At 50.1% G+C, this 24023-nt stretch overlaps 1 protein-coding gene across 42 annotated transcripts in view, besides 3 other annotated features; it reads left to right on the top strand.

The window, feature by feature from the left end:
• FHAD1 (forkhead associated phosphopeptide binding domain 1) overlaps positions 1-24023 on the top strand; it is a 166490-nt gene that overhangs the window by 112082 nt on the left and 30385 nt on the right. For 35 of the 42 annotated variants that reach the window (XM_047443734.1, XM_017000198.3, XM_017000199.3 and 32 more), the window contains 8 exons: positions 440-547; positions 4275-4382; positions 9508-9681; positions 11876-12101; positions 14040-14124; positions 17225-17331; positions 18861-19020; positions 20768-20900. In XM_047443734.1, the coding sequence (XP_047299690.1) occupies positions 440-547; positions 4275-4382; positions 9508-9681; positions 11876-12101; positions 14040-14124; positions 17225-17331; positions 18861-19020; positions 20768-20900 (1101 nt within the window). Of the gene's footprint in view, positions 1-439; positions 548-4274; positions 4383-9507; positions 9682-11875; positions 12102-14039; positions 14125-15138; positions 15716-17224; positions 17332-18860; positions 19021-20767; positions 20901-24023 lie in introns of those variants that run through there. The other 7 variants (XM_047443790.1, XM_017000211.3, XM_011540598.4 and 4 more) reach the window with 5 other exon arrangements.
• Positions 3370-4569: an enhancer, noted in NCBI's record as "P300/CBP strongly-dependent group 1 enhancer chr1:15678468-15679667 (GRCh37/hg19 assembly coordinates)". NCBI's record gives its function as "activates an origin of replication core promoter dependent on BRD2, BRD4, P300/CBP, MED14 and CDK7 cofactors, with strong dependence on P300/CBP, by STARR-seq in HCT116 cells {active_cell/tissue: HCT116}" and the evidence as "EXISTENCE:reporter gene assay evidence [ECO:0000049][PMID:35650434]".
• Positions 13586-13655: an enhancer, noted in NCBI's record as "active region_235". NCBI's record gives its function as "activates an Ori minimal core promoter by ATAC-STARR-seq in GM12878 lymphoblastoid cells {active_cell/tissue: GM12878}" and the evidence as "EXISTENCE:reporter gene assay evidence [ECO:0000049][PMID:35858748]".
• Positions 16311-16811: an enhancer, noted in NCBI's record as "H3K4me1 hESC enhancer chr1:15691409-15691909 (GRCh37/hg19 assembly coordinates)". NCBI's record gives its function as "activates a minimal SCP1, AML or CMV promoter by ChIP-STARR-seq in naive H9 embryonic stem cells {active_cell/tissue: H9 hESC(naive)}" and the evidence as "EXISTENCE:reporter gene assay evidence [ECO:0000049][PMID:30033119]".

Below are 24023 nucleotides of genomic sequence, written 5' to 3' on the forward strand. Positions count from 1 at the left end.
TGGAGAGACTTATTTCAATAATGGAAATTCCATTATTAATGAGACTCTTCTTTTGATCAGAGAGGCTGCCTGGCCTCGTGATAGGAAGCTGCCCCCGCTGCTCCCGGGTGCCCTGTCGAGAGCTCTTTATTCAGGCTCAGTGCTTTCCTCTGCGCAGGCTTCAGATCCTGGCCTCACCACTGACAAAGGGTGTGGCTCTGGGCCCTCTCCGACTTCCTGCTCCTCGGTTTCCTCATCTGTAAAATGGGCCACTCTCAGCACTTCTCTGACAGAGTTGCTGTGAGACTGAAGGGCTGGCCAGGGGCCCAGGTGTATTTAATAGCCGCCCCAACACTTTGGCTGTTATTGTTACTATTATTATTATTATTATCATTATCATTACTAGCAATTTCCCCCCTAAATGTGCAGGCCACCAAGAGCACTGGTCGTTGATTTTCAGGTTTTGGAGAGCAGCATAGCCCATGAAAAAAGAAAAGCAAAGGAAGCCTTGGAGTCGGAAAAGAGAAAAGTTCAGGATCTGGAGAACCATTTAACCCAACAGAAGGAGGTATGAGCAGCAGCAGGAAAGAATCCTCTGGAAGGAACTACAAAGCCAGATCCCTGGGAGAGTACAGTGGGAAATCGGGCAGATATCAGAGCCATGCCTCCCTTTGAAGTGGCCAAGATCTGCCGTTTACTGGCTGTGTGACCTCCGGCAGATCGCCACCTCCCCATCCCTCAGTTTCCTCATCTGTGAAATGGGAATGCTAACAGTCCCTGCCTCATCGGATTAGATGCTCTCAGGTGTCAAGTACATAGGACTGCACCCTGCATCCTAGAGGGCCCTCGGGAAGATTTTTCTGCTCTCTGGTTCAGCTACCTAGGAAAGAGGGATCCTCCCAGGAGAGAATCCTGAGTTTCAGCCAGGGTCAGGGGCTTAGTGAGCATCATCCTCACAGTAGAGCGGCATGTGTGCCACACCTGGCATGGCCAAGGGAGAAAGCACTGCTCCTGGCCCGGCCTCCTGGTGTCATGGACTCCGGAGCAGGCCCTCCCTTGACTGGCTGAGGAGTAAAAGCACAAAGAGCACAAAGAGAGATGGCACAGGTAGGTGCATAGTAAGCACGTATGGTTGTCACATCAGATAAGCCCCAGGGATCAGTGCCTTCTGGAATGGACGAGAAGATGGGCACCCCAGGACAGACTGACACCAGGGAGGAAAGGAGGGGTCAGAGCTGGAGACATCCACATCCACCCACCCCAATGCCACCAACCTAGGGACCTGGCCCACCAGACACACCTGCCCCGAGCAGCATGAAAGGCAGGCCCTCAGGTCAGCCTGGACACCCAGGTCACACCCTGGAAGTAAGAGCTGGGGGGCCAGGAGGAGGTCACTCAGGGACCCACATGGCATCTCCATGAGCTGGGCTTCGGGGACAGAGGTGGCACAGACACACACGTGCCAGCCCCCACAGAACTTCCAGAAACAGAGCTGATGGCTCAGTGAACGGTTCGATTCGGTTTCATTCATCCGCCCATAAATATTCATTTATCCACCCACCGATTTCAGTTTCATTCATCCACCCACCGTGGGCCAGGCCCGGTTCTGGGTGCCACAGACACCGCAGTGAGCAAGACAGACCAGGGCCAGGCTGCCAGAGCTTCCATCCTAGCGCAGGGGAGACAGACAGCCTGCGGAAGCAGGGGCGGCTCCAGGGCCACAAGACCAAAGCTGAGAAGCAGGCTGGAGAGTGCCCGAGGGCAGGACCGCTCAGGAAGTGACATTCCAGTGAGAACTGGAAGGGAAAAGGAGCCTGGGGGCCAGAGAGGACCACTGGATAAAGTGGCACAGGTGTGAAGGTCAGGACCTGAGCTTGCCAGGAGGTAGACGGGGGAGACTGTGTGAGGAATGAAACCAAAGCTGGCCCAAGATGGGAGGCACCAGGGCGCAGTGGAAGGAAATAGGTGGGAGAGGTGGGGAAGGAACCACAGAGCTTGGTGGGCTAAAGGGTTCATTCTGGGCTCAAATCTCAGCTCTGCCCTAACAGGCTGTGTGACCCTGGGCATGCCCCTTGCCCTCTCCATGCCCTCATCTGCCATGTGGGTGTGGTGGCAGAACCGCCCTAGAGGTGTAACATGAGGAGTCAGTATATTCATGGCTTGGGATACACCTGCCCTGGTGAGGTCAGAGTCCAGGTGGGGTGGGCAGTTGAGTGGGCACAGCAGGGTGGGGGCTGCACAGCCTTAAGTGAAGCCCTTGGCAGTGGGACAATAACAAGCCCATGAGGGAAGTGAGGTCAGAGTCCAGGTAGGCAGAGGGAGCACAGACATGCTAAGGGGTGGGATCCAAACTATGGTCACCACTGCCCCCAGAGCCTCCCTTATACATACGAGCCAGGGATGGGGTCCTGAAGCTCAGGCTACAGCCAGGCAGTGTCTTGGGCTCTGTGCCAGCCTGGATATGAACATATAAACACATCTTGCTGGGTGCGATGGCTCACGCCTGTAATCTCAGCACTTTGGGAGGCCAAGGCAGACAGATCACTTGAGGTTGGGAGTTCAAGACCAGCCTGGCCAACATGGTGAAACCCCATCTCTACTAGAAATACAAAAATTAGCTGGGCCTGGTGGTGCACACCTGTAGTCCCAGCTGCTCGGGAGGCTGAGGCAGGAGAATCTCTTGAACCTGGGAGGTGGAGGTTGCAGACAGCTGAGAGCACGCCACTGTACTCCAGCTTGGGTGTCAGAGTGAGACTCCATCTCAAAAAAAATTAAAATTAAAATAAAAAAATTTTTTTAAAAAGTCTCCTGCCTCCAAGTGGGCAGGGTTTGAATCAGGGCCCAGAGGCCGAGTAGTTAAGGCAAGGGCACTGGTGTCTAAGCCTGCACCACTCCTTCCTGGTGCTGTGACCTTGGAACACTGCTTGTCTTTATACTGCCTCGGTTACAGCCTGCGTTTCCTTTCTTGTGAAACAGGGATAATCAGATAGATGCTCTCTGGGGGTTTGCAGATTGGATGCACTAATACATTCTGTGCACAGGGTCATTGTGAGTATTTTCATTTGTAACACACCAAGTAGTGCATAATAAGAGAAGGGAAAGAGCCCTCACCACGGGGCATGCAGAAGAGTGTGGGTGACCTTGTAGGACAGGCAGGACTTAGCTCTCCAGGGCACAGATTGGACCATCTTAAGCAAAGACTCAACAGTGAGAAAAAGCCAGGTCTGCACTGGGAGATGTGGTTGAGGGGGGTGCCTGGGAGTTGGATGTGCAGAGGCGGGTAGGGTGGGTGGGTGCCACACAGGTAATGTTAAAACCGGGAACATTGGGAACATTGTCTTTCCTTGAGGGCCACACACACCTCGAGTCTCATACTGTCCCTTGAATTAGGATGTTCCCATCTCCTATCACTGCATGCCCTGTAACGATTTTCATTCATTTTTCTTTTTGCCAATAATACCTGTGCATTAAAGAAAATTTAGAAGATATAGACCTGTGAAAAGAACAAAATAAAAGTTGCCATAATCCCAATTCCCCCCAAAAAACTGTCACTTACATTTCAGTACATACCCCTCTGGTCTTTTGTTGTACATATACACGTATATTTAAAATCCTTTTCTTGTGAACTTTATGTTGGTGCGGGGGAGGTGTATAATTGCAAGAGTTTCAACAGCTGCAGATAGAGTTTTTCAAACCCTCCCTAGCTGTTTACCTCCCAGGGCGTGTACAGGTGAGTCTGGGCCTCCAGTTCCCTCCAGGTCTATGGCGTTTGTGTTCTCAGCTCCAAACTGACCTAGACAGGAATTTTGAAAACCCATGGCTTTGTAGACTGGAAGTGGCTGCCTGGGTCCTCATTTGGAGCCATTGGCATGGGTCTGCAGGGACAGAAGGCACCTCCCCAGCACTGTCTCTCCTGCCCCACCTCCCAAAGGGCCAAGTACTTCCAACAAAAGCCAGCATCGGTGCCAGCACATGCCAGTTTATTTAGTAACTCAATGCCAAACACCAGGACCCAACCATTCACCAGCATGTCACTTCCTGAACACCAGCCCTGAAGTCTTGAATGATGACTCACTCTCTCCTTTACACACGTGACTAAGATATGGCTCCCGGGTTCTCACCATGGTGGGCATGCCATGGTTCTCACCTCTGTCCCCAGTGGGTGCTTTGTTCTTTGAGATCTTTCTCTCCAACCCTGACTTGGTGGCTTCCACGGTGACTCGTCCTGGTTTCCCTTTCCAGTGTCATTTCCCTTTGAGGGCACAGGCCCTCAAACCACTTTCATTGACTTCCAGATCTCAGAGAGCAACATTGCGTACGAGAAACGCAAAGCAAAGGAGGCCATGGAGAAGGAAAAGAAAAAGGTGCAAGACCTGGAGAATCGCTTAACCAAGCAGAAAGAGGTATGAGCCGCAGGGAGGGAGAGACGAGAGGGGCCCAGCACAGCGAAGGGCAGTGCTCTAGAGCCAGGCTCTGGGTTCAAATCCTACCTCTCCCCATCCCTGGCTGGGGGACTTCAGGCTAGTACCTTACCATCTCTGTGCCTTAGTTTCCCCACTTATGAAATACACTCAATACACACAGATCAATCTCCTTGAGTTGTTGTGAGACATGACTGCTGTTATACACACAGAACATATGGAGAGGCACCCAGCACTCAGCACTCCGCATGTATGTGTCAGCTGCCCATGTTAGCATGGTGAACTCATGGCTGGGAAGTGGAGGGACAGGATCCGAAGCCTGGACTGTCTGACTCCCCAATGCTAAATCTTCATCCCTCCTTCTCTACTACACTTCAGCTTTGTGTGGGCTCAGCTGCCTGGCTTAAGAGAGGAGATGTTGGCTGGGCGCGGTGGCTCGCACATGTAATCCCAGCATTTTGGGAGGCTGAAGTGGGCAGATCACCTGAGGTCAAGAGTTCGAGACCAGCCTGGCCAAAATGGTGAAACCCCATCTCTACTAAAAACGCAAAAATTAGCTGGGCGTGGTGGCACGCGCCTGTAATCCCAGCTACTCAGAAGGCTGAGGCAGGAGAATCGCTTGAACCTGGGAGGCGGAGGTTGCAGGGAGCCGAGATTGCCCCATTGCACTCCAGCCTGGGTGACAGAGCAAGACTCCATCTCAAAAAAAAAAAAAAAAAAAAAAGAAAAGAAAAAAAAAAAAAGAGGGATGTTAGGGTATGGATACCTGGATCTCTGATCAGGCTGATATCAGTTTTCCCAGCAGAGTTTGTCATCATAATTGTCATCACCTTCATAATCAAAATGCATTTACTGTTATCACTGAGAATTGTAAACGCAGTAGGAATAGAAGTGGATTTCGCACCTGACCCTGTCTTGGGTACCTCATAAGCAATAGGGCATAATTCACTTCGCCTGAGTCCCAGCAGTACAAAACACACACACAATGACCAATATGTCAAAGTCAAAGCAGTTGATAAACATGCAGCCTGGCAATCATGGGTTAAATTTAAATATAGGTGACTATGACTTCAAAGGATTTTCAGGACCAGCTAGGACTAAAAAGGTCTCTATTCACATCAACCTTGGATCATTTTCTTCAAAGAAAGGTTTGCAAACATTAGCATGCATTTGAATCTCTGGGGAATTTATTTTAAATGCCTGTTTCTTGGACCCCACCCCAAGAAATTCTGACCCCCTGGGTGGAGGACAGACTCAGGAAGCTGCATGTTTCATAAGCAGCCCAAGTGGCGCTGATGCACTTTAAACAACGCTGCTCTAGGGAGAATAGTCCAGAAGGCACATCTGGATCGCACGTCAGCCCTGGACACCAGTCTTTAAGAGGGGCCTTGAGTAACTGGCATGTGTCCAGAGAAGGCAGACGAGAGTTGGGTGAAGTGATGCCGGACTTGTCAGCCCAGGGCTGTCATGGTCACAGAGGACCCCTGCAGGGAGGCACATGCTGCAGGCTGTGGGAGAGCCCGAGAAAGGCAGTCTCTTCCCAAGCAGCCGTGTCCCCCAGATGATGTATCATGGATCCTCCGTGAAATACACTATGGGTAGGCAAAAAGGAGAGGTTAAAGTTTTAAAAGTAGGTAAGTTGGGACATAAAAGGGATCCAGAATGAGACTAATGAAAAAAAAAAGTATATCATGAAATCAACGAATGAGTCACAATTTTTACTCCAGCAATTACAGTGCAAGGGAAGGCCCAGCTGGTTGTACAATTTACTAGACAAAAATAGACCAACTGCTCGTGGAAATATGACCATTCTTGATACTAGACTAGAGAGAATCTCTCCTAAGGGTCATTACTTAGAGGATTCTGCAAGAAGCAACCTTCTCAACAATATCCTTAGAACAGTAACACCAGAAGGTAGAGTCTTGGCCGGGCGCAGTGACTCACGCCTGTAATCCCAGCACTTTGGGAGGCCAAGGTGGGTGGATCACCTGAGGTCAGGAGTTCAGGCCCAGCCTGACCAACATGGTGAAACCCCGTCTCTACTGAAAATACAAAAATTAGCCAGGCATGGTGGTGCATGCTTGTAATCCCAGCTACTTGGGAGGCTGAGGCAGGAGAATCACTTGAACCCGGGAGGCAGAGGTTGCAATGAGTCAAGGTCATGCCATTGCACTCCAGCCTGGGCAATAGAGTGAGACTCCTTCTCAAAAAAAAAAAAAAAGAAAGTGGGGTCTTACGGCATCCCTCAAAGTAGACAGGTGACATTACCCTAGACAAGCAGGAACAGGACCCAGCCCAGGAATTCACCATTTACCAGGAAAATCCAAGGAAATACAAGTACAGTCAGGCAGAGAGTTGCTTGTTTGCACATTATTTTATCTGTACACTCGGAAGAGCAATCAAAGATTGATTTCATCCATATAGGCAAAATAGGAAAGGGAGAGAGGAGAGAGGAAAGGAATTTCAAACGCATGGGACCGGTGAACTTTGTTCTCCTATCCTTGGACAAGCTGCTGAGTAGCTGCCAGGGAGCAAAGATGGCAGGCTGCATGGTCTACTCGTAAGCAGGGCAGCTTCACAGCTCTTCAAAGAAACAATTGCAGTTTGTTGTGAATTATTTGGGACCCCTGGGGTGCATCGCTGAGCTGTACGTGACAAGCTACTCCGTGGCATGCCTGCCAGTGTCCCCAGTGAGCACCTCCATAGGCCAGGTCTGCATGAGGTCCTCCGTGGAATATCCCAACAGTAACAGCAAGGTTAAGACCCTGAAAAAGGATCAGACGGAGTTAAGCGGAGGTACACAGAGGATGCAGCAACTCCCAGGCAAGGCTTGCAGGAATAACACAATGAAAACGGTATAGGGATTTAATTTATTCAAAAAAAAGTGTTTTCTTTCCTGATTATAAAAAAAAACCTGTCATTCTAGAAAACTTGAAAAAAAAAAAAAAACAGAAAATCACTCCAAAGAAAATAATAACTAACATAGAGTCCACTGAGCACAGTTGCCACTATCGACATTTTGATGTGATTCCTTCCAGACAGCCTTTGTGTTGAGCCTCAGCATCGATATCGATAACTACCGATTTATGACCAAGTTAGTGATTGACACTGTGACACTGTGCACACTGCTTCGGATGCTATTTTTGATATTTACTATACGATGTGTCAACCTTAAATAATGAGATTCTCTAAGCATAGAGTTTATTCGAGCTCAAAGCTTGAGGACGGCAACCCAGAAAACAGACTTCAAAAGAATGAGTCAGTGTTCCAAAGCAGGGAGGTGAAAGTTTCACTTTGATAGGCAGTTAACAGGATCGCAGTGTCTTCCACACAAGGTCAGCACATGCGGTTATAGCCCTTTGGTTGGTTACAGCTTGCTACATTCCTGGGAAAATTGCTTTACTATTCCAGGATGAGGGGTGATCATCTGAAGGAGTCATCTCTGGCGTGGCCAGGGCTTTCCCACTCATTTACAGAAAAGAATAGAAGTTGCAGGTGCGTGCTACGTGACCCAGGCCACACAGCCACATTCCTCTCGAGTCTCAAAATAATTTAAGGTTTCAACCGCTTTAAGTTTGAATGATTTTGGCCAGGCACAGTGACTCACGCCTGTAATCCCAGCACTTTGGGAGGTCGAGGTGGGAAGATCACCTGAGGTCAGGAGTTCAAGACCAGCCTGGCCAACATGGCAAAACCGCATCTCTGCTAAAAATACAAAAATTAGCCGGGCGTGGTGGTGGGTGCCTGTAATCCCGGCTACTCAGGAGGCTGAGGCAGGAGAATCACTTGAACCTGGGTGGCAGAGGTTTCAGTGAGCTGAGATCATTCCACTGCACTCCAGCCTGGGCAACAGAGCAAGACTCCATCTCAAAAAAAAAAAAAAAATTGAATGATTTCATGTTGCGTAGAATGTCTCAATGTCATCGAACAATCTTCCATGGCCTGGGTTTGCACTGTGCTGGATGGAAGCCGATTTCTTTTCTTCTCCCCTGGGGTGGTTTCTCACTCTTCACTAGTGCAGCAGATGCCCGGCTGACCCACCCTGTGCATCAGTCTTTACGTCCTTAGGAAAAATTCCCTAAAGTGGAGTTGCTGAGTCACAGGACATGCACATTTTCAGGCTCATAATACACATTCCTGAGTGAGTGTCTAGAAAGGTCACAGCAGTTTGCACCTCCACCAACAGAGTTTAAGAATGCCCAGTACTTTGAATATATTTTAAATTGGATTAAATAATGTTCGTAAGATGCCCAGCACAGTGCCACTCAAGAAGCCCACACTTCACATTATTGCAGGAGGGACTCAGAATAGAATGTTGACTATGAAAGATCAAAAGAATGGGGCCAGGCGCGTTGGCACACGCCTGTAATCCCAGAATTTGGGAGGCCGAGGCAGGCGGATCACGAGGTCAAGAGATCGAGACCAGCCTGGCCAACATGGTGAAACTCCGTCTCTACTAAAAATACAAAAATTAGCTGGGTGTGGTAGCGTGTGCCTGTAGTCCCAGCTACTTGGGAGGCTGAAGCAGGTGAATCGCTTGAACCTGGGAGGCGGAGGTTGCAGTGAGCTGAGATAGCACCGTTGCGCTCCAGCCCAGGTGACAATGCGAGACTCCTCCGTCTCAAAAAAAAAAAAAAAAAAAAAAGGAGAATGGGTTCCGGGAGGAGGGATAAGAGATGCCCAGGACAGGGCCGCTGGAGCCCTGGAGGAAAGGGGGGTGTCCTGAAGGCAGGTGTTGCAGTGAAGGAGAGAAGGGACTCAGCACATTCATCTTGGAGAACAGATTTAGAGACAGACATGACAGCCCTCCTCAAATATTTAAAGGGCTGTCTCATAAAAGAGAAATAAAACATACTCAATGAGCTCCAGGTGACAGAACTGAGCTCAGAGACCAGAAATCACAAGGAGACAGATCTCCGCTGAATATAAAGACGAGTTCTATAATAATTGGAACCTTCCAGAGAAGGCATGGACTTTGTGCTTTAAAAGAATCGACAGAATAATTAGAGAATAGACTTTACCCTGTCCTTGAAGGTGGGGGATAAGGGGGCTGGGTAAATATGTATTCCTGAATGTCTGTTATTTTGCTACTTGTTTTTTTGTCTAGGAATTAGAATTAAAAGAGCAAAAAGAGGACGTTTTAAATAATAAATTAAGTGACGCACTGGCCATGGTTGAAGAGACTCAGAAAACAAAGGCAACTGAAAGTCTAAAAGCAGAGAGCCTCGCCTTGAAATTAAATGAAACATTAGCCGAACTGGAAACTACCAAGACAAAAATGGTAAGTCGGTGCCTTCCGGGAACGGGAGAATTTTTCTCTCAATGGAAGATTACAGTGCCACGAGAATGTGTGGTTTAGACCGGGGCTTCTCAGCCTCAGCACTGCTGATGTTCTGGGCCAAGTAGCTCTTTCCTGTCAGGGGCTGTCCTGAGCATCTTAGGATATTTAGCACCACCTCTGTTCTCTACCCACCAGATGCCAGGAGCCCTCTCCCCACAGTCGTGATCACCAAAAATGTCTTCAGACATTGCCAAGTGTCCCTTAATGGACCCCTAATGAGAAGCGTTGGTTTAGAACGAAATGTACACAGAGCTAGGATGCCCTCTCTGCACGGTGTTCTGAGATGTTGTAATGCAGGGTCCTCACAGGATCAGAACGCCTGGAGAGCCTCAGGATTGAGTGATGAGTGACGATTCCACAGGCTTTAAGACAATGCATTAAAGTGTAGGCTCGGCATTCGAGGCCCTCCACAATTAGGGCTCGATGTGCATTCCCTCTGTCATCCACACGTTCAACCGACAGGTTTCTGGGCAAGGAATTCATGAAGGTGAATCTCCCAGAAGAGCACAGAGTAAATTTCACGAGGGTGTGGCGTTGGAGAGAACAGCTCTGGGTGTGGAACGTGGTGTAGACCAGAATCATAAGGAGCTGACCTTGGCGGGAGCTGGGGGAGGCGTGGGGGGAAGGGAGTCTCTGGAGAGAGTTACGATGGCAGGACTTGATAACTGCTGGCAGGACGTGAGCACCAAGGAGAGGACAGTGCCGAAGGAGACTGCACACTTCAGGCCAGGGCGCCTGGGGACCTGATGGCATAGGGACGACATAAGGATGGGAGTATGGAGGTCTGGGGTCATGGTGGGGGGTTCTCTTGGAGCGACCCTCTTTTGGAGAAGAGGAGACAAGAGGAGTAAGGCGAGGATAGGGCATCAAAGTCCAAAAGCTCCCGAGATTTGGGTGCACAATAGTTTTGGGAGAGAAAGCAAGACAAGAGCCTAATCTGGAAGGCAGCCTCTTAGGTAGGGTCCTTGGAAGAGCAGGCATGTGTGAGTGTCTCGGGCAAAGAATGTATCTGTCATGGGTAGATCAGAGGCCAAGGCCCAGCACGTCACCTGGGAATAGGGAGCAGGACAGGGTGAGGTGGGAGCAGAAGGCGGGCAGTGAGGAGGAGGTGCTGGGATGGAAACGCCAAGGGGAGCCTTAGGAGGTTGTAGGCATGGGAAAGCAGCAGATTTGCCATTCGGGGGTCATTAGTAATTTTTTGTTTTTAAGAAATGCAAATTCTGGCTGAGCACAGTGGCTCACACCTGTAATCTCAGCACTTTGGGAGGCCAAGGTGGGTGGATCATCTGAGGTCAAGAGTTTGAGACCAGCCTGGCCAACATGGCAAAACCCCATCTCCACTAAAAAAAAAATACAAAAATTAATGGGAGGCCGAGGCGGGCGGATCATGAGGTCAAGAGATCGAGACCATCCTGGCTAACATGATGAAACCCTATCTCTACTAAAAATGCAAGAAAATAGCCAGGCGTGGTGGCGGGCGCCTGTAGTCCCAGCTACTCAGGAGGCTGAGGCAGGAGAATAGTGTGAACCCGGGAGGCGGAGCTTGCAGTGAGCCGAGATCGCGCCACTGCACTCCAGCCTGGGTGACAGAGAGAGACTCCGTCTCAAGAAAAAAAAAAATTAGCTGAGTGTGTTGGCGCACACCTGTAGTTCCAGCTACTCAGGAGGCTGAGGCAGGAGAATCGCTTGAACCCAGGAGGCAGAGGTTGCAGTGAGCCAAGATAGTGCCACTGCACTCTAATGTGGGTGACAGAGCAAGACTCTGTCTCAAAACAAACAACAACAACAACAAAAAGTTTACATTTCTAGCGGGGAAGAGAAACAAAGAAACAAAATTAAAGGCTTCAGGGACAATGAAACAGACGCTGGAACAGAAAGTGTCTGGGGCTACTCCTGATAGGTAGTCAGGGAGGGCCTCTCAGAGGACGTGATGCTGGAGCTGAGCCCTGAGAGTCAAGAAGGAGTTGGCCATGCAAGGAGCTGGGGAAGAAGTGCACAGGGCAGAGGGAACTGCATGTGCTAAGGCCCTGGGGTGGGGCCCAGTTTAGCACCTATGTGTGTGCCCAGGGGGCATATTATTGTTGCCGTCATACACAGCTCCCAAGACCTCACTGAGTGACTCTCTGTTTCCCAGATCATGGTGGAAGAGCGGCTAATCCTGCAGCAGAAGATGGTAAAGGCCCTCCAGGATGAGCAGGAATCACAGAGACACGGGTTTGAAGAAGAGATCATGGAATATAAGGAGCAAATCAAACAGCACGCCCAGACAATTGTGAGCCTCGAAGAGAAACTCCAGAAAGTCACTCAGCACCATAAAAAAATAGAAGGCGAGATTGCAACATTGAAGGACAATGACCCAGGTAAGTCCGAAGGGAGGCCAAGGAAATCTTAGTGTTCGGGGCAGGTTCTGATTGTCCGCTGGGTCCCAACAGGCTGATGGCTAAGAAAAAGGCCGTGCCTCATTCGAAAGCTCATTCATTCTCTGAGGCCCCCTTTTGTTCTTGTTACACAACGATGTCAGAAGCCCTCCGAGGCCCAGGTTCAGCAGAAGTCATGGCAATGAGTTGGGACATCCTTTGTGCCTACTCAGTGAGCCGGCGAGACACACAGGCTACCGGGGCTGTCAGGGCCAGCGAGGGCAGCGCGAAGTGGAATCATCTTTTCCACATGAAAACATCTCATGCAGGGGCCTTTCAAAGGTTTCTCTCTGCCATCGGCCTTTTGCATCTTCACTAATGCACTCATTACCAGCCAGGATTTATCCCTTAAAAAATTAACCCTAAAGAGGCTGAAAAAAGAACTCAGACTTGTGAGCACTTATTTGCCCCAAATGGCCAAGGTAAGCTGTATTATTGTAAGCTCTTGAAGAAAGTTCTGGAAGTAGAGGACTCAGGCCAGGGTATCCCAGCCTCAGCCCTGTTGACATTTGGAGCAGGATCATTTTTTCATGGATGGGACTGTCCTGGGCACTATCAGGTGTTAGCAGCCTCCCTGTCCTCCATCCATCAGTTGCCAGTGGCACCCCTACCCCAGTTGGGACAACCAAAAATATCTCCAGACATTGCCCAATGTCCCCTAGAGGCAAATTCACTCCTGCTTAAGAAACATGGCTGTAGTCCCCAGCAAGCTGGCAAGCCATCAGGACTTACCTCATTCATTCACTCACTCAGCTCTCTCGGTGGAGCTTCTGTTATGTTCCAATCTCATGTAGGCACTCAGGATCCAATGATGGACAAACCAGATTTTGTCCCCGTAGTAACAAAATTATTGCCCTGACAGGTGATCCAGGATGAATAGGGCACCATGACAAGGACAAAGAGTGGAGTTCAGTTTCCCAATCCAGAGTCCAGGTCAGAGGGAGGGTGTCTGAGATTGAGCTGGGGGCCAGGTCAGTGGCTCACGCCTGTAATCCCAGCACTTCCGGAGGCCGAGGCCGGCGGATCACTAGGCCAAGAGATCGAGACCATCCTGGCCAACATGGTGAAACCCCGTCTCTACTAAAAATACAAAAATTAGCCGGGCCTGGTGGCGCGCGCCTGTAGTCCAGCTACTCGGGAGGCTGAGACAGGAGAATCGCTTGAACCCGGGAGGCGGAGCTTGCAGTGAGCCGAGATCGCGCCATTGCACTCCAGCCTAGCAACAAAGCGAGACTCTGTCTCAAAAAAAAAAAAAAGAAAGAGAGAGATTGAGCTGGGACCTGAAGGGTGACGTCCAGGTCAGAGGGAGGGTGTTTGAGATTGAGCTGGGACCTGAAGGGTGACTGCATCTTTGTCACCCCCGTACTTAGACCAGTATGCACTCCACAAATGTTAGTTGAAGGGATAAACAAGTGAGTGAACACGTGAGGATAAACAAGTGAGTGAACATGTGACTGAGTAGTGAGACAGGACGCTAGAGGCGGTGCACTGAGGTGTAAATGGGAGGTGAGGAGAGGAAGGCGCTAAACACAGATTCTTCTTCCAAGAGAGACAGGCAGGCGGTGGGACCAGGGGCTGAGACTGCACTGCTCACCAGCTTAGCCAAGTGGGTCGCCGGCAGCTTCCATCACTCCGGTGCCCCTTTCCCTGTCTGTAAGTGGATTTGATGGCCCCTGCCTTCTAGAGTAGCTGGGAAGATTGCATGGCCACACACTTGGGGAGAGCCCCCAGCCTGTGACATGGCACACGTGCAGGTCTCACAAGGTGGAGAGGGCTGCAGGTGGAGGCAGGGTTTGTAAGTTGTGAAAGACACAGGTGTGCTTGTAAGCAAAGGGGAAGGACAGTTTCCTCTCACAATGATCACATGTCCCTCTGATACAGCCCCAAAGGAGGAAAGGCCGCAAGACCCTCTGGTGGCTCCCATGACAGAGAGCAGTGCCAAAGACATGGCGTACGAACATCTGATGTGAGTACCCGTGGGTGTGTGAGCGCCAGGCATTCTCACCGGCACCACCTGGGTGGGGGCAAACAGGCAACCAGCCCCTACCTGGGCCACATTGTCAGAAGCCAAACAAGGAGCCGGGCCTGCTGCCTTCCCAGTGCTGCTTCCATTTCCCCATTCCTTCAGCCCAGACCACATTGTCAGAAGCCAAACAAGGAGCCAGGCCTGCTGCCTTCCCAGTGCTGCTTCCACTTCCCCATTCCTTCAGCAAGGCAGGGCAGTGTCGTGGAAAGATTTAGGTAGACCTACATTCAGATCCTCAGACTGTTTTCTGCTATTTATAGCAGAATACCCAAAACTGGGTAATTTATAAAGAAAAGAGATTCATTTCTTACAGTTATGGAGACTGAGAAGTCCCAGGTTGAGGGGTTGCATCTGGTGAGGGCCTTCTTGCTGTTGGGGCTCTGCAGAGTCTGGGAGTGGTGCAGGGCATCACATCCAGGGGCTGAGCGTGCTAACTCAGGTCTCCCTGCCTCTTTTTATAAATCCACAGTCTCACTGCCATGATAACCCATTAATCCACTAACTCAGTAGTCCACAAATCTATTAATCCATAATTGTACCTTCGTGACCCAATCGCTTTATAAAGGCCCCACCTCTCAATACTGCCACATTGGGGGTTAAGTTTCAACTTGAGATTTGGAGGGGATGAACATTCAAACATAGCAGATCCCAACTCAACACTCCAGCTGTGTGACCCTGGGCAAGTCACGCCACCTCACTGAGCCTTAGCTTCCACATTTGTGAAGTAAGGCTGTACATGCCTAGTGCTTGGGAAATCTAGCTAATACTGTTATTAGCTAGTTTTCCCGAGGATCAGCTAGAGGCAAGCCCACTCACAGGTGTTATTAAGCAGACAGAGATTTCAAACAGTGGAGACCACTTGGTGGGGCGGGGCCCTGTAAAGGGTGAGAAGTTAAGGGGTCGGCTAAGTGACCTTAAATAAATGATTTCAACTCTCCTGACCCTGAAAGCCAGTGAGTCTACAAAGAAGTCTATCCTCAAAGAACTGACAGTTTTCAGAGAAACAAACGTATGAATGGGAAAGATCCAGAAAGCAGCACGTAAAGAAGGAGGCGCCGATGGGATGCAGTGGAGGGATTCAGAAGCTCCCCCAAGAGGAGAACCACCTGCCTGACCCTTGCACCAAATCCTAGTGACCGAAGTCTAATGTCACAGGGTTTTTACCCCAAAAAGACAAGGATACTCAGCCTCCGCATTGTGAAAAGTTCCTGACTCCTCCTCCTGTTTAAAATCTAGAAACGGTGGTGCCCATGACTTGGAGAAGACTCAGCACCACCCAGCTCTGCTCTGGTCCACTTCCTTGGCGTGTGAACATGCTTGAATTCTAAGGTTTTATCCTCAAGTTGGAAGATTTGTGGTTGCAGCCAAGAACACACTCACGTGGACACACACGCATGCATGCACACACAGAATATACTATATCTATGTAGTTATTTTCATTCTGATGATCACCAGTCTTTTTGTTTGTTTGTTTGACATGCAACCTGCCAGTGTTTTACTTTAATTCATAATAAACACAGTACCTTCTAAAGTCTGTATAAGGCGGGGCGCAGTGGTTCACACCTGTAATCCCAGCACTTTGGAAGGCCGAGGCGGGTGGATCACCTGAAGTCAGGAGTTTGAGACCAGCCTGGCCAACATGGTGAAACCCCGTCTCTACTAAAAATGCAAAAATTAGCCAGGCATGGTGGCAGATGCCTGTAGTCCCAGCTACTTGGGAGGCTGAGGCAGGAGAATCACTTGAACCTGGGAGGTGGAGTTTGCAGTGAGCTGAGATCACGCCACTGCACTCCAGCCTGGGCGACAGAGCAAGACTCCGTCTCAAAAAAATAAAAATAAATAAAAAATAAAGTCTTTATAAGAAGAGCCTGGATTTCAAAAGCCTGTGAACTCAAATGAAGTGGCATTAATACCTGCAAAGACTAAGGCTCCTAACCCCCTTCCAAAAGGGCAAGACCCACTCCCTGCAGCACACACATGACCTATCTCCGCCAGGCTGCAGTTTCTCAACTTGCTGAGACATGCACCCTGTGTTCTTCCAGTCAAATCCCCACCAAGGCGCCTCCCCTGCCATTCCTGCTGGGCGCCCTTCACCTCTCCACTGGGCGCAGCCTCCCTCCCATCAACCATCCTGAGTCTCAGGGCACCAAACGTGTGCTGCCCTCCAGGGGTGTGGGAGGGGAAGTTGTCCCATCACCATCACTGTCCCCCTGTTGCCTGGGCCCCTGTTGCCTGGGCCACACTTCCACTGGCTCCCAGAAGAACACCATTCATTCACATCTGGCCCCACCTCTCTCCACCAGGAATTCAAAGGGGCTGCTGAGAGAACAAAGCCACATTGTCTTCCTCTCTTTTTTCTTCCCTGTCCCCAAAGAATCCCTGAACCTCCCCAAAATAGTCTTCCCATGTCCCTCCACCATCAGAAGTCCACAGGCACATCCATTCATGATGGTGGGTAGTGGGTATCAGTCTCATGCAAGGCATGTTTGAGCCGCAGACTCAACTCAGCCAGATCCTGTGTTCTATCTCAGTGGATTTTCTTTTTTCTTTCTTTCTTTTTTTTTTTCTTAGAGATGGGTTCTTGCTCTGCCACCCAGGCTGGAGTGCAGCCTTCAACTCCTATGCTCAAGCAATCTTCCCACCTCAGCCTCCCGAGTAGCTGGGACAACAGCCACACACCACTATGCCTGGCTAATTTTTTTTTTTTTTTTTTTTGTAGAGACGGGGTTCTGACTTATGTAGCCCAGGCTGGTCTCGAACTCCTGAGCTCAAGTAATTCTCCAGCCTTGGCCTCCCAAAGTGCTGGGATTACAAGCACATGCCTGGTGCCTGGCCTTAATGTATTTTCTTAAATGAGGTGCATGAAAAAAGTCGTTTTTCTTTTAGAGTTTTTGAAGACTGTCCTCATCCTTTGCTGGGACTGGCGTTGCATGGACCGTGATTGAGAATCTCTTTGCATTTGTACTTGGCCCCTCCTGACACTCAGGAGATAACATGGAGTTTGAGTTGAACTGACTTCACCTGTTTTTGTGAATTTCAGAGATGACTTATTGGCTGCTCAGAAGGAAATTCTGTCTCAGCAGGAAGTCATCATGAAGTTAAGGAAAGACCTTACCGAAGCCCACAGCAGAATGTCGGATTTGAGAGGTTTGAACAATTTCTGGTGTCTCTTGACCTCCTGACCCACTCGAGAAAGGAAGGAGATGAGGCTAAAGAGTCGGCCGGGCGCAGTGGCGCACGCCTATAATCCCAGCACTTTGGGAGGCCAAGGCAGTTGGATCACAAGGTCAGGAGTTCAAGACCAGCCTGGCCAATATGGTGAAAACCCACCTCTACTAAAAATACAAAAATTAGCTGGGTGTGGTGGTGGGCACCTGTAATCCCAGCTACTCAGGAGGCTGAGGCAGAGGATTGCTTGAACCCAGGAGGTGGAGGTTGCAGTGAGCTGAGATCGCGCCACTGCACTCCAGCCTGAGCGACAAAGCGAGACTCTGTCTCAAAAAAAAAAAAAAAAAAAAAAAAAGAGTTGAAAACCTTGGCATAAAAAATCCTGCTTCCCTGTGCTGTCGCAGCACCTTTAACTCAGGGTCAGCAAAAGCCGTATCCTGGATATGTCCCTGATTCCTACCCGCACTGAGTCTCTGACTCAATGCCAAGGGGCGCAGGGCACATTCTCCAGAGGACTTTGGACCTCTGCACTGAAATGCAACTTACTTCTTCAGGGATAATTTTCCTTTAGCACAGATTTGCTTCTGGAAGCAAAGGCTTGGAGGGCAATCCTGGGATCTCCCTGCAGCAGGCCAGTTTGCACAAGCCCCGGCACTCACTAGCTTTGGGACCTAGGGCAAGGGGGCCTCTCCAGGCCTTCTCTTCCTCAGATGCCAAGTAGAGACAACACACCTTCTTCCTACGGTTGACATGGACATGAGTGGCCCCTAGAGTAGGGGCAAAATAACTGAGTTCTGTGCTGTTCTGGACAGACACAAACAATGCCGCCTTCATATTCCTGCTTTGTTCCTCCTTGTCTCTGTGCTTTTACTTCTGCCTCCCTCCTTCTTGCATCTGATAGCAGCCTCTCTTTCCCATCTCTACTCTCCCTCAAGCCAAAGGGCATAAACAGGCAGGAGCTGGAAGATGGAACTAAGCCCGGGGAAGTGGAGGAAGGGAAGAGAATGCTCTTATCTTGTCCCCATCCCAAACCCTACAGGATATTTGCTCCCTGTAGCTATTCCTGTTAACACCCCCAAGACATTTATGGCTGAGGTTTTTTTGTAATAAGATATGAGAAAGTGTGGGGTAGAGGCTACAATGCCAAGTTCACGGGAGATGTTGGGCCCAATTCTATATCTGCTCACTCTTAGTTGCATGACCCCAAGTAAGTCCCTTACCTCATTGAGCCTCAGTTTCTGCATCTGTGAAGTAAGGATGCTAATAGTAGCTACCTTACACCTGTAGTCCCCGCACTTTGGGAGACTGAGGCGGGTGGATCACCTGAGGTCAGGAGTTTGAGACCAGCCTGGCCAACATGGTGAAACCCTGTCTCTACTAAAAATACAAAAATTAGCCAGTCGTGGTGGCGCATGCCCGTAATCCCACGTACACAAGAGGCTGAGGCAGGAGAATCACTTGAACCCGGGAGGCAGAGACCCCCTTACCGGCCCTCCTGTCACTCGCAGGGGAGCTAAACGAGAAGCAGAAGATGGAACTGGAGCAGAACGTGGTGCTGGTCCAGCAGCAGAGCAAGGAGCTGAGTGTGCTCAAGGAGAAGATGGCCCAGATGAGCAGCCTGGTAGAAAAGAAAGATCGGGAGCTGAAGGCCCTTGAGGAGGCACTCAGGTTGGGTGGGCGGGGGCCGGGTTGGGGGGATGGTTTGCCTGCCGTGGGGAGCCGCTGAGTATTGCAGAGAGAGGGCTCAGTACATGCTGCTTGAGGAGTTGAATGAATGAATGATATGTGTTTCATGGCTTGGCTTATTCTGTGCTTCTCAAACTTCCTTGTCCAATATTCCAGATGACAGGTCTCTGCTTAAATGCCACTTCCTCCAGGAAGCCCTCCCTCACTCACCCTCACCAAGCATAGCCAAGGGATCCTGCTGTGCTTGGGCTCCCTCAGCCCCTGCACTCTGTCTAACCTACCACTTAGCACACAGCAAGGCTACCTTTGCCTGTTTTGTTGTTGTTGTTGTTTGTTTGTTTTTTTGAGACAGAATCTCACTCACTCTGTTGCCCAGGCTGGAGTGCAGTGGAACGATCTTGGCTCACTGCAACCTCTGCCTCCCGGGTTCAAGCCATTCTCTTGCCTCAGCCTCTGGAGTCGCTGGGACTACAGGCATGAGCCACCAGGCCTGGCTAATTTTTTTGTATTTTTAGTAGAGATGGAGATTAACCATGTTGGCCAGGCTGGTCTCGAACTCCTGACCTCAAGTGACTCACCCACCTCGGCCTCCCAAAGTGCTGGGATTACAGGCATGAGCCACCGCGCCCGGCCCCATTGCCTGTTTATTGTCTGCCCTCCCCACGAGGACAGGGTCTGTGTAGACCTTGCCCACTATTGATTTCCCAGCCCAGCACATAAGGGAACTTAATATTTATTTAACAAATGAATAAACTGGAGGTGTCAGCTTAAAATACATACAAAATATTGTCATTGTCCCATGGGTTCATCTTTAAAAATCCCCGTGAGTTGCATTTTTACCCTCAGCTTATCCATATTTTAGAATGAGTCCTGTTTTCACAAAAAAAAGAGTTTGACTGAAATTGATGTTTTGTGGCTATCTGGTAGCTTTGTGTGCCTCGTGGCCAAAGCAGATTCACATAGTGGCTAAAGGAGCAGACTCCAGACCTGGCTGCCTGGTTTCAAAGCCAGACCCTAGACCAGGCCCAGTGGCTCACGCCTGTAATCCCAGCACTTTGGGAGGCTGAGGCAGGTGAATCACCCGAGGTCAGGAGTTTGAGACTAGCCTGGCCAACATATAGTGAAACCCTGTCTCTACTAAAAATACAAAATTAGCCAGATGTGGTGGTGCATGCCTGTCCCAGCTATCTGGGAGGCTGAGGCAGGAGAATTGCTTGAACCTGGGAGGCGGAGGTTGCAGTGAGCCAAGATCACACCATTGCACTCCAGCCTGGGTGGAAGAACAAGAACAAAACTCCATCTAAAAAAAAAAATAGCCAGACCATCCACTTACAAGAAAGGTGACTGCAGGCAGATTGCTGTGTGTCTCTTTACTTGTCTGTAAAATGAGACAAGCAGAGTACCTAACTTGTGGGATTGTTATGAGAGATAGAAGGGTTAGCCACACATAAAGTGTTAGAAACAGCAGACATGCAGTGAATGTCCCTGTAAAGCCACAGCAGGTGTCTTCAGCCCCCGTGCAGGAACCAAGGGCAGGTGTTCCCTGCCCTGGCCACTCTCCCATAAGTCCCCTGAAACTGAATTCTCTAGAAATATGGGAACAGGAAACAAGTCTCAAAAGAATTCTGTTTCCTATAAAAATAGAGCTCCATGTCCTGGTCTTCCAATGAGTGTAAAAGTAATTTGTGGTTTCCAGAACCTCGTGCCATCCTCCTCTTCTCTACCCTAGGGCTTCCCAAGAGAAACACAGACTCCAGCTGAACACAGAGAAGGAACAGAAGCCCCGGAAGAAGACCCAGACGTGTGACACCTCTGTGCAGATAGAACCCGTCCACACTGAGGCCTTCTCCAGCAGCCAAGAGGTGAGTGCCACCCACTCCTGGGTACTGGAAGGATGTGCAAAGACACAGCCCAGTGGTGGCTGTCTTTCCTTTTGAAGACACTTTCATTCTAAGTTCCAAAAGTATGGCTTGCTGGTGTGAAATGTATAAAGTAAATCGCAGAATACTGCCTCTTTAGTCACAGTCACCAGAGGTCACAGCTGTCCACGGTGTGATGTGCATGCCATGAGATCTTTCCCTCGGAGAGGCCTCCACGTTCTCACATGGTCAAGAAAATGCAGTGACTGAAGATCAGGTGTGGATTCGTTCCACCTGTGTTCGAATCCCAACTCCTCCACTTAGAAACTCTGTGACCTTGGGGAGGTCACTGTACACCAGTTCCCTGTTCTGACAGTAATGACCACCCCCACCTTATGGGTTGGTTGAGAAATACATTTTATGTATATACACACCTGAACAAACACACACAAACCCATACATATATTTATTTATTCATTCATTCATTTATTTTGAGGAAAGGTCTCACTCTGTCACCCAGGCAGGAATGTAGTGGTGCAATCACAACTTCACTGCAGCCTCAACTTCCCAAGGTTCAAATGATCCTCCTGCCTCAGCCTCCCTAGTAGCTGGGACTACAGACGCACACCACCACACCTGACGAATTTTTGTATTTTTAGTACAGATGAGGTTTCACCATGTTACCCAGGCTTGTCTTGAATTCCCGGACTCAAGAGATCCTCCTGCCTCAGCCTCCCAAAGTGCTGAGATTACAAGTGTGAGCCACCACGCCTGGCCCATATAGATATTTGTTTAGTAGATAATTTTTTTGCTAATGGTATCAAACCATGTACATTCTGCAACATGGGTTTATTTTTACATAACAGTATTTAATGGGCATATTTGCAAGTATATGAAGATCTGCCTTACCCTTTTAAATGGTTGTGTAGAATTCCACTGTGTTTCTTTTTTCCAACCAGTCCCCTCTTGATGGACACTTAGGTTATTTCTCCTCTTGTGCAATGCTGTCGTTAATGTACTTGTTCTTCCTGAATTGTGCTTGATGGGGCCAAACTGCCTTCCCGAAGAGCCACGTAGTGAGTGCCCCATGGCTGTGTCTTGGTAGCTGTTCCATGCACCTGCCCAGAAGCATCTGATGGGAGTGTGTCTTTGAGTGAAAACAGCCTTCATTGGGCCGCCCTGGAAGCAGGTGCTCACACTCTGTCCCTATGACTGGGGCTGTGATACTCCCGATGATCCGCAGCATGCAATGGTGAGACTCAGTGGTTCCTCAAGGCCCTGGTTTCCTGGAGCCTGGGGCTATTCTTTCCCCAGGGCTTTTTGAGCCTAGAGAGCATGGCGTTCCAGTAATGGGCTTTGGATTTTCACCGGGAAGCCAGGCCAAATGTGTCAGCTTGCTTTCCGGCTCTCTCAGAGATGCCTTTCCCCTGCCAGACAGCATTGAGCCAGGGCCGCAAACAGCTTGAACGAAAGGGCTCGAGGTCCAGCCAGCTGTCCTTGGCATCGATTGCTGTCCAGAGCACTTTAACAGAATTGTCTCCTGGTTGCTCAGGGCAACCAGGAAGGCAGGGGCTGCAGCAGGTCCACGTGGCCGTAAGCTCCGTGGGGCAGGGGGTGTGTGGCACTCCTGTTGGAATCCCAGGCTCTTACAGCAGAACCTGACCCATATTCATTCACTCCTTCAACAACTATTGAGCACCTGCTGTGTGTCAGGCCCTATGCCAGGGATAGGAGAAGACGCACAGGGTCCCGCCCACACCAAACGCCCTTGGACTCTGTGCACGTCTGTTGGACTGGATTGTTGAACTGGGATGCCCTTGATTTTTAGTTTATATTATGTGGAAGGATTAGTGGAGGAGGACGGGGGAGGGAGACTGCAAGATAAAAGGGAAAATGTATTTGTTCCTTCTTGGAATGGTTTTCCTCCTTCGGGCTCCTTCCTGCTTTCTAAGCCAGAGTGGGTCAGAGGGCTTAAGAGTTGTATGAGAAAGAATCTCATCCTCTCCAAATAAATAAATTCCCAGCAGATCCGCAAGGAGGGGTCACATGGAGCTCCTGGTACCCCTCAGGCCAAGCACAGGCTGTGACGGAGCCTTAATGCATGGCTACCCCTGTGCCCCCAAAACTCAGTATCTGCTGCCCCCTGCTATACACAGAGAGACAGAGAGCAAGGGAGAACGTTCCAGGTTGTTTACTGCCGGGGCAAACACGCATCCTCAAGAGGTGACCAAGGCCAGTGTAGAGCCAGCGCTGGAAGGGAACCAGCCACGCATCCTGTGAGCAGGCTGAAGACAGGGTCCAAGGACAAGCGAGGCCGTACTAAGCGCAGGCAGGGTGGGCTGCCTCCCTCTCACCGCTGCTGAGCCCTGGTCCCAGCTGGAAAGCCAGGGCAAGCTCCTTACAGCTCCTGTTTCTGACAGGCTCTGTATTTATTGAGTACCTACTGTGCTCAGACACAGTGCTGGGCCCTGGGAATAGCACAGTCTTCAAAGGAGATAAAGACTGCTCTCACGGAGCCTGTCATCTGGGAGGAGAGACACAGAAATAAACAAGCCAAGATCAAGTAAAATGTCCAGTGGGAATAAGCGCTCTGAGGAACTGCACAGCAGGATTCAGCACAGTGACGCGGGGGCATGGGGGTGGTCAGGTGATCAGGTGGTCAGGGAGGCCTGTGCTGGAGGAGACCTGGAGCAGAGCCAGAAGGAAGGAAGGGAACGAGTGGTGGGGACATGGGGGTGGGGGTAGGGGACCGTCCCAGGAGGGCCTCAGACGGCACTGTTGAACCCCTTGTAGGAGGCCACGGGCCCTGTTCCCCTGGTGGCAGTGTGGCTAGCACAGGGCCGGGGATGTGTCATACAGGCCTCTGATAAGCATTTGAACCATCAAAGGAGGAAGAACAAACAGATGTCTCCTTTGCTCTCCTCTGCGTTCTTTTCCCGGAGCACTTATCATTCTCCAGAATCAGAGTATTTGTGCGCCTGTCTGTCTGTTACCTGTCTGCCCCATAGAAAATGCACCCACAGCAGCAAGGGCTGGTCTGCCTGCTCCCTGATCTCACCCCAGTGCCTAGAACAGTGTCCGGCATGCAGCCACTGCTACCATTCAATAGATAGATGGATAGGCAAC

This window comes from Homo sapiens, chromosome 1 (assembly GCF_000001405.40).
Source record: "Homo sapiens chromosome 1, GRCh38.p14 Primary Assembly".
Lineage (NCBI taxonomy): Eukaryota > Metazoa > Chordata > Mammalia > Primates > Hominidae > Homo > Homo sapiens.